Source organism: Homo sapiens, chromosome 15 (assembly GCF_000001405.40).
Source record: "Homo sapiens chromosome 15, GRCh38.p14 Primary Assembly".
Lineage (NCBI taxonomy): Eukaryota > Metazoa > Chordata > Mammalia > Primates > Hominidae > Homo > Homo sapiens.
In genome coordinates, this window is record NC_000015.10 from 91802679 (window position 1) to 91811732 (window position 9054).

The 9054-nt window shown below is 39.6% G+C and overlaps 1 long non-coding RNA gene across 1 annotated transcript; it reads right to left on the bottom strand.

The window, feature by feature from the left end:
• Positions 1-318: 318 nt before the first annotated feature.
• On the bottom strand, positions 319-1338 carry LOC105370974 (uncharacterized). The gene is made up of 2 exons (XR_007064765.1): positions 1220-1338; positions 319-628 (listed from the first exon to the last, which is right to left on the bottom strand). It is a non-coding gene; the product is annotated as an uncharacterized LOC105370974 (long non-coding RNA).
• Between the last annotated feature and the right edge of the window lie 7716 nt (positions 1339-9054).

A 9054-nucleotide genomic window follows, 5' to 3' on the forward strand; every position in this document is an offset into this window, starting at 1 on the left:
AGGTGAAAATGTCACTGTTTTTTGGTCAAGAGAGGATATCAAGGCAGGTTTAGAAAGTTCGTTAGCCCCAGTGTGCAGCAGAGCAATAAGACATGTATTGTCTTTGCACCTCAGTTGCAAATATTTCCAATAGTTTGTGTTTATGTTGCATTCTCTCACCACAAGCTTCCAATTCAGGGGATAAAACTAGGCCTTTCATAGTCAACTTTTTGGTGTAAATCTCAATTCTAACTGAATTTCTATAGCCCAAATCATGCCCTATATGAGCTCAGTAGACTGTTTAAATAAATGAAATTGCTTTATAATGCAAATAACTACCCAATTTTGTACATTTTATTTTTCAAAGTTTTGCTTTTTTAAAGCAAGATATAACTGTGGATGGCCTTCCTGCAGAGGGACGGGCATGTGCAGTGTCTTAGCTGAAGTCTTAGGAAGGCGGGAGGGAAGCATAGCCTGTTTCTGGATTTGTCAGCATGCTGTGAGCCTAGTGTGCTCTCATCATCTGAGCCTCATTAGCATCTTCATCCATTTGCGTTCAGATTCTCTTCTTGCCCAGAGATGGGATTTCTCCCAGGGCTTTGGGATGAGAAATCATCCCTGGCACCTTCCTAGATTCTCTGTCTTCCTCCTGGAAGAAATAAAACCAGCATGGATAAGTGTTTTGGTGCCGCAGCCAGCACTCCCAGCATGCTGTGGGGTCTCAGCCTCCCCCACCCGAGCTGGTTGCTTGACTCACTACTGTCAGGTACCAGATTGTGACCTTCTAGAGGGCAAGGAGACTACAGTGGTGGATGAAATGAATCAACGATGAATAAGGGAACCACAAGAAGTCGTGGGATCCGGTGAAGGCAGTGTGACAATGGAGTGAAGCTTCTGGGCTTAGAAATGATGGACCTCATTCAAGTCCTGTCATTCACAGCCGTTTGACATTTGCTAGTTACTTTGTCCCCTCTGTCTCCCTTTCTTCCTCTGTATAGAGAGGCCTAATACTTCCTCCACAGGAGGGTTGCGAACATTGCACGGGATAGCATCAAATCCACAGCACCTTGACCCGCCAGCCCATTAATGAGAAAACCCACCCCTGAGAACTGTTTGTGCCTCAAGCCAGAAGACACCATGGCAACTGGCCTGCTCTCTTCTCTGAGGATTATCAAGACCCCTGCCTTTATCATGTTAGGTAGGCTCAAAGAATGAAGAGCAATGAAGAAAAATGTCTCACCTGTGCATCTTAACAAAAAAGTCTTCAGCACTCATACATCACTGAGCTTTCTGTTTACTGCCCTGTTTCTCAGACAGGCTCTGATCTTTCCAGTGAATCACTGCCTCCTAGCCCAGAGCTCAGTCCTGTTGTTAACAGTCTGTTCACTGCCTTAAAAACGAACTAACAAAATAATAGTTAATAAACTAACTTCAATCCATATGCTCATTGATTAAAGTACACCCAAAAAGGAGAATAAATTATAAGCGTAAAGCTCAATGAATTGTATCTTCCACTCCTTATTAATCCCATTGCTTCTAGCATTTATTCTTATTGTTGCGGGGCAGGAATAATCAATTATCTATCTATAGGTTTCACCTATGCTTCCAGTGTTGAGATTCCAGCATAAGGAGGAAAGAGTGTTTAACAAAAGTGGTAAGAAGTATGTGACAGCCGAAGTGATCAGGAGCTGGGAACTCTGCTAAATAGGAAGAGACAAGAGGAAAGCAGACTAAAGCAAGTTAATTCGTGTCTATGGAGTCTCCCAAGTTCCAAGCATTAAATGCAGTAGAGGATAAAGATTTAGAAAGAGACTAGAAATCAAGTTGAAAGACAAAGGACAGAAGGAAGTTCTGTAGATACTCATCTTGACCAAGTGACTGATGGAAGAATAGGATTATTATCTGAGATGATTGTCATTGTCTTTATTCTGAAAGTTTAATGACAGTTAAAATGTCATTTGTGGTTGTGAATCAAACCTAGAACACACTAGAATTTAGCTTTTCTTTGGAATCTAATCACAAATGCAAAATGACTAGGCTGATGGCAGTGGAATTCACCCCTATATGGTCTCATTTTTGAGAAGGGGCAGACATATAAGAAGAGAACTAGAAAAAAAAAAACAAAAAAAAACCTGCTATTAGCCAGATGCAAGAGGTCCCAGGAAATTCTTGTCAGGAATTCAAAGAGAGACTTAGGCATTTTCAGGCCATACTTGGGGATGAGGAGAGCAGTGATTTCCAACCTCCTTGGAGAATAACATCTTGTACCTATCACCTGGGTCTTTTCACTCAGATCTCAGGAGATGTCCTGGGGCCCTCAGTACCCTATATTCAATAAATCCCCAACTCACTCATGCAGTGATAAACAGACATGGGGAAACCATCATTTTCCTGGACCTGAGAGGAGAATCTGTGGGAAGCCCAACTCCTCTATTACACACTACCTGGATGAGAGAGAAGATTTCAACCATAATATGATCCTACTTTTCTATTTTATTGAGCTCTTAAGGGGTTAAAATTTCACCTCTTCTTACCACCCAAGTTTAGAACCCGCTAAAAGAGAGACAAAAGGCAGAGAAACAAGAAAGTTTAAAAATTTTTCTTTGTTATTGATAAAGACCCAATGAATGGGCACAGCTTAGATGGAAAATGGTAAGATGTTCCTAAAACTGCATCCCCACCATGAATCAGAAATACCCACCCAGCTGTAGGTAGCAATAGAAAACATCAGGTCTCCCCATCGAAAGAAGCAGTCTTGACTGCTAAACTAACCATTTGGCAGACAGCAAACTAAAGCACAGGTTTCCTCTCAGAAGAAAAGAGGAAGGAAGGAAGGAGGGAAGGAAGGAAGGGAAGGAAGGAAGGAAGGAAGGAAGGAAGGAAGGAAGGAAGGAAGGAAGGAAGGGAGGGAGAAAGGGAGGGAGGGAGGGAGGGAGAAAGGGAGGGAGGGAGGGTCCTTTCTCTCAAATGCGCTTCTCAGAAAAAGCCACTCCCCTTCTTTCAGGGATAAGTAAGCCAGAAAGACGAGAGAGGCCAGGAGCATTTCTCTAGTGGAAATTCCTCCACACGGAGGGAAACATTAGGAGTGGGATATAATAGTCCCCTATAATAGATTTTTATGTATGTATGTATGTATGTATGTATGTATTTATTTATTTATTTATTTATTTATTTTTGAGATGGAGTCTCGCTCTGTCACCAGGCTGGAGTGCAGTGGCGCGATCCCGGCTCACTGCAAGCTTCCCCTCCCGGGTTCACGCCATTCTCCTGCCTCAGCCTCCGGAGTAGCTGAGACTACAGGCGCCCGCCACCGCGCCCGGCTAATTTTTTGTATTTTTAGTAGAGACGGGGTTTCACCGTGTTAGCCAAGATGGTCTCGATCTCCTGACCTCGTGATCCGCCCACCTCGGCCTCCCAAAGTGCTGGGATTACAGGCGTGAGCCACCGCGCCCGACCATATTTTCTTCCCATTTATTTGACTTCGTTCTTCTAAAGGGAAGGATCTACTTCTTTTCCTTCTTTCTGCTGTGCTTGAAACGCTGGATTAGAGTATGCACTGTCACACCAATGTTGATAATTAAGGGATTTCCATATGTGCCCGGGAATGGCAAATGGCCTGAGAAGTGAGGAGAATACCACACACAGAATTCCCCAGCACTGTGGAATTCCCCAGCACTGCTGGCAGTAGGTCTTAGGTCCTTCACAGAAGCGCAAGGGAACTCTTTCAGAGGAATGTCTCCTTACAGGGATCACCAAATCATCTGAAGAGTGGCTGGCTGGGGGAACAAGGGTAGCAGAGAAGAATGAAGGAAGCTGGTTGAAGGAGCAAGGAGGATGTAAGAGAATAGATGTGTTTCTAAGTCCACATCTAGATTTGAGCATGTAAGTGGGATATTTGACATTGATTCGTTCAACAAATATTTGCCAAGCCCCTGTGAGAGCCAGCTTCTACTGAGGACTCAGTGGTGAACATGATCCAGTCCCTGTCCTCAAGGACTTTTCATTTTGGTTTGGATGGCAGCAAAAAATAGAAAATAAAAATAACAAATAAAGAAAGAACATGCTATTACTACAAGTAGTGACGTGTGCTATGAAAGAGAATAAAGCTGGGCGAGAGGACAGAGAGTGGTGTAGTTGTTGGGGCATGCATATTCTAGGTAGGGGCCCCTAGGTGGAGGAATCAACCAGCAGCCATGGATTGGCACATGCCATTCAGTCTTGTCTCCCATCCCATCCAATGAGAAAATCTCAGCGCCGGATTCCCTGAAACACCTTCCCAGCATGAGTGTGAATATGTCAAAGAACAGAGAGTTTTCTAGGTTTTCACAGAAGCTGTTTCACTGCTGGACAGTTCTAAACATGTAATAAATGTTTTTCTTGAGCTAAAATCAACAAGTTGAAGTCCATATGCCAATTCTCATTTTGGTTTCTGGAACAACGCAGAATAAGGCCTCTTCCTCTTCCGTGTGCTGATAATAACAGCTGTTGTTGATTGAGAATGACTCTCTACATGGAGCCGCGCTTTCCAATATAGGCGAGCTCCGTAACCGCAGCAAGCATCAGTCTCTTCATTGGTAAATCAAGAGTAGCAGTGCTTGCTTCCCTGGGTTGTAATGAGGATTAAATTAGGTAATGCTTATATACACAGGAACTGAACCACATATTGACATAGCTGATCTCAAATGATACCCAAGAGTCCTGAGCAAACTCTTCAGTGTTGGCTTCCTATCAGGTTCTTTGCATATTAACTTGTTTATCCAACACTTACTGAGCCCTGATGAGTGTCAGGCAGTGTTTCCAAAGCAGAGGATACAAAGATGAATCTGACATAGTATGTGCTTTTGGGAATGGCAAGGTCTAACGGGAGGGACAGGAGAGTAAACAAATAATTACAGTTCAGCATAGAAAGTGCTATAATGAAGTGCTACAGAACTCAGAGCTTGGAGACACCAGCTCTGCCCAGGAAGAAGAGGCACTGCAAAGGTTTTGTAGAGGAGCTAATGCTTGATCTGAGTCCTGAAGATGGCCAGGATTTCCCAGGCAGATAATGAGAAAAGAGCTAGAAAGAGATGTAACAAAAAGCATCCCTAAAAAAAAAAAAAAAAAAAAAAAGGATGGCATTCAACCACTCAACAGAGTCTCCTTTTTTTTTTTCCCTGAAGTAAGATTAATATTGGAATTCTGACTATTTTTGTCATCTTTATTACCAAAAGATAATTAAAAAGAAAGAATTGTTTAAAGGGTTTTAGGTGGGTGCATTAATTTTTTTCTTACCTAATTTGCTTATCATAAATTGGAATGAAATGGAAAATATTTGGAATTTTTTAAAATGCAATTATTGTATACCTTAATATTCGATGCATAAAAATAATGCCATGTTGGTATGATGTTTTGGTTTTTCCAAAACTAAGAACCAAAATACAACAATTAAAAAATGTTATATTTAATGGGAAGACCAAGTATAGTGGTTTGAAGAAAAACATTTCCACCACATGGTATACTGCAAGAACAGCTTCGTTAATTTAAACGAAACATAGAATTTCTTATCAGGTGCTTGTATTTCCTACAATTCATTAAAATAATTGCATGATTGCTTTTTAAAAATTCCCTTATCTGAGCACAACAGAACATTCTTGTAACCTACCTAAGAACAATTTCTTAGAAAAAAGATAAGAGAATTCAATAAGATGTAATATCCTACAATGGTCATAAGGTGATCCCATAGAAATAATAGCAGAATACAAAGGTAACTATCAATCTGGATCTCTTAAATTTCCTTTCAGCTCAGTGATTAACAATACATCACCCAAATCCTGTTAACTAAACAGGATTAATTAACAATCCTCTGAGTGTTTCAAGGGTCCGGCTGATGGTTTTTCCTGTGACTTCCTATAGACTGTAAAGTCCATAAACACAGGAACCATGACTGTCACTCTCAGTTTATTCCCAGAACCTAGCATAGTGGCGTTCCACCCACACAGTAGGAGCCGAATAAACACTTACTGAGTGAATGAATAATATCATCAATTTTATATATTTGTAGCTTCAGGAACATTTAAAAAAGGCAGCCTACAAATACGGTACTGAGGACCAGTGGAGTCACAGCTTTCAGAGTAGACCAGAAATAATCAAGAACTCACCAGTCAATACATATATCACCAATATAGTTCATCAAATGAAGATCTATTTGAGTCAGGAGCTTCTGTTGAAATTTAAAAACACTCTTAGAGATACAGATATACTGGTCACACTTTAATGCCATTTGCTTTAATCTTACACTCAACAATAATTATTCAGACTGATATCTGAAATATAATTTTTTCACAAGTGTATGGATAAAGGTTATCTTTTCTTTTTTTTTCTTTTTCTTTCTTTCTTTTTTTTTTTTTTGACGAAGTAGCGCTCTGTTACCCAGTCGGGAGTGCAATGGCCCAATCTCGGCTTACTGCAACCTCTGCCTCCCAGGTTCAAGCGATTCTCCAGCCTCAGTCTCCCGAGTAGCTGGGACTACAGGCGCGTGCCATCACACCTGGCTAATTTTTCTAGTTTTAGTTATCTACTAATTAGTTATCTACTAATTTTAGTAGATAACTAAAAATACAAAAATTAGCTAGGCATGGTGACAAGCACCTGTAATCCCAGCTATTCTGGAGGCTGAGGCAGGAGAATCGCTTGAACCCGGAAGGCAGAGGTTGCAGTGAGCCAAGATCACGCATTGCACTCCAGCCTGGGCGATAAGAGTGAGACTCTGTCTCAAAAACAAACAAACAAGCAACACAAAAAAAAGTAATGCAAAACCTAATACTACAGAGCAGTCTATCCAGTCCAGCCAAACAAGGCCTGCCCTCGCCGGAAACTAGTTAACCACAGTCTAACTTGCTGATGTTTTATCAGAGCTTAACTGAGTTGGGGAAAGGGACATACTAGCAATCCTGTCCCAAATAAAGGAGATGGGGCTGGGGGAGGAACTGAGGAGCACTTGAGGTTCACAGCCCAGGGGCACAGGCCCATTGAAAGACTCAGACCTAATCACAGGACTGTAAAATGCTCCCCCAATACCTTACCACCATGTTATGAAGGCCTATTTCTAGCAGTTCTCTTTACCCAGTACATCCTGTCCAGCTATCCAGATAACAGTACAAGGCATACTAAAAGGCAAAAAACACAGTTTGAAGAGACAGAGCAAGCAAGAGAACTAGACATGGCAAGATGTAGGAATTAGCAGACAGAAATTTAAGACAATTATGATTAGTGTGCTAGAGGGTGTAATGGATAAAGTAGGCTGAATGCAGGAACACATGGACAAGGTAAGCAAAGAGACAGAAATCGTAAGAAAGAAACAAAAAGAAATGCTAGAGATATAAGACACTGTAACAGAAATGAAGAACACCTTTGAGGAGCTAATTAGGAGACTGGACATGGCTGAGAAAAGAATTTCTAAACTTGAGGATATATCAATAGAAACCTCCAAAACTGAAAAGGAAAGAGAAGGAAGACTGGAAAAACAGAATAGAAGATTCAAGAACTGTGGGACAATTTCAAAAAATGTAAATATGCAGAATGGGAATACCAGAAGGAGAAAAAAGAGAAAAAGGAATAGAAGAAATATTTGAAACAATAATGACTGAGAATTTTCCCCAAGTTAGTATCAGACACCAAACCACAGAGCCAGGAAGCTCAGAGAACACCAAGCAGAATAAATTTCAAAAAAAATTACACCCAGGCAAATCATTTTCAAACCATAGAAATTCAAAAGTAAAGAAAAAGTCTTAAAAGAAGCGAGAAGAAAAAAATACTTTACTTATACAGAAGCAAAAATAAGAATTACATCTGACTTTTCCCAGAAACCACACAAACAAAAAGGGAACGAAGTGGAATATTTAAAGTGCATTGAGAAAAAAAAAACCAAAACAGCAACCTAGAATTCTGTGACCCGCAAAATTAACCTTCAAAAGTGAAGAAAAAAGAAAGACTTTCTCAGACAAAAAACTTGAGGGAATTCATTGCCAGGAGACCTGCCTTGCAAAAAATGTTAAAAGAAGATCTTTAGAGAGAAGGAAAATAATATGGGTCAGAAGTTTGGATCTACATTTAAAAAAAGGAATAGCATCATCAAAGAAGGAATACACGAAGCTAAAATAAAAACTTTTTTCTTTTATTCTTAACAGATCTAACAGATAACAGTTTGATCTAAATATTAATGCAACAATGTATTTGATTTTGTGTGGTTACTTGTACAGATAGTCATGATTTTTCAGCATCATAATGGATTTATCAGGTTATTAAATGCAAAGTGATGAGTCTACTGGAACATAACTCCCTTGTAAGTTGAGGAGCATCTATATACCTTGTGTGTGTGTGTCTGTGTGTGTGTGTGTGTGTGTGTGTGTATACATATATGTACATATATATATATATGTTTATGCATGCTTATGTATAAGTGAAATGAATAACAGTAATAATACCAAGGATAAGAGGAAGGAATTGAGGTTAGGTTTTTACTATACAGTATTCACACTGCCCATAAAAGTTGCACAGTGTTATTTGAAAGTAGGCTTGGATTAGTTGTAAGTATTTATTGTAAACTCTAAGAGCCATTAAAGGAAAATCATTTTTTAAAAAGTATACTTAATATGCTAAGAAAAGAGAGAAAATAGAATGATATAAAATGCTCAATTAAAACCAAAAAGGCAGAAAAAGAATGGAAGACAAAAAAAAAAAGGAAAAAATGACAGGGCAACAAATAGAAAACAGGAACAAATATGGTGGGTGTGAATCCAACTATATCAATAATCACTTTGAATATCAATGGTCTCAATGTACCAATTAAAAGACAGAGATTGTCAGAGTGGATCAAAAACCAAGACTCAACTATAAATGTTAGCTACAAGAAACCCACTTTAAATGTAAAAACTCATATAGATTAAAAGTAAATGTATGAAGAAAGATATACCATGCTAACACTAATCAAGAGAAAGCAGAAGTACCTATGTTAATTTCAGACAAAGCAGACTTCAAAACAAAAAAAGATATCAGGGATAAAGACACCCTTCACAAAAATTAACTCAAAATGAA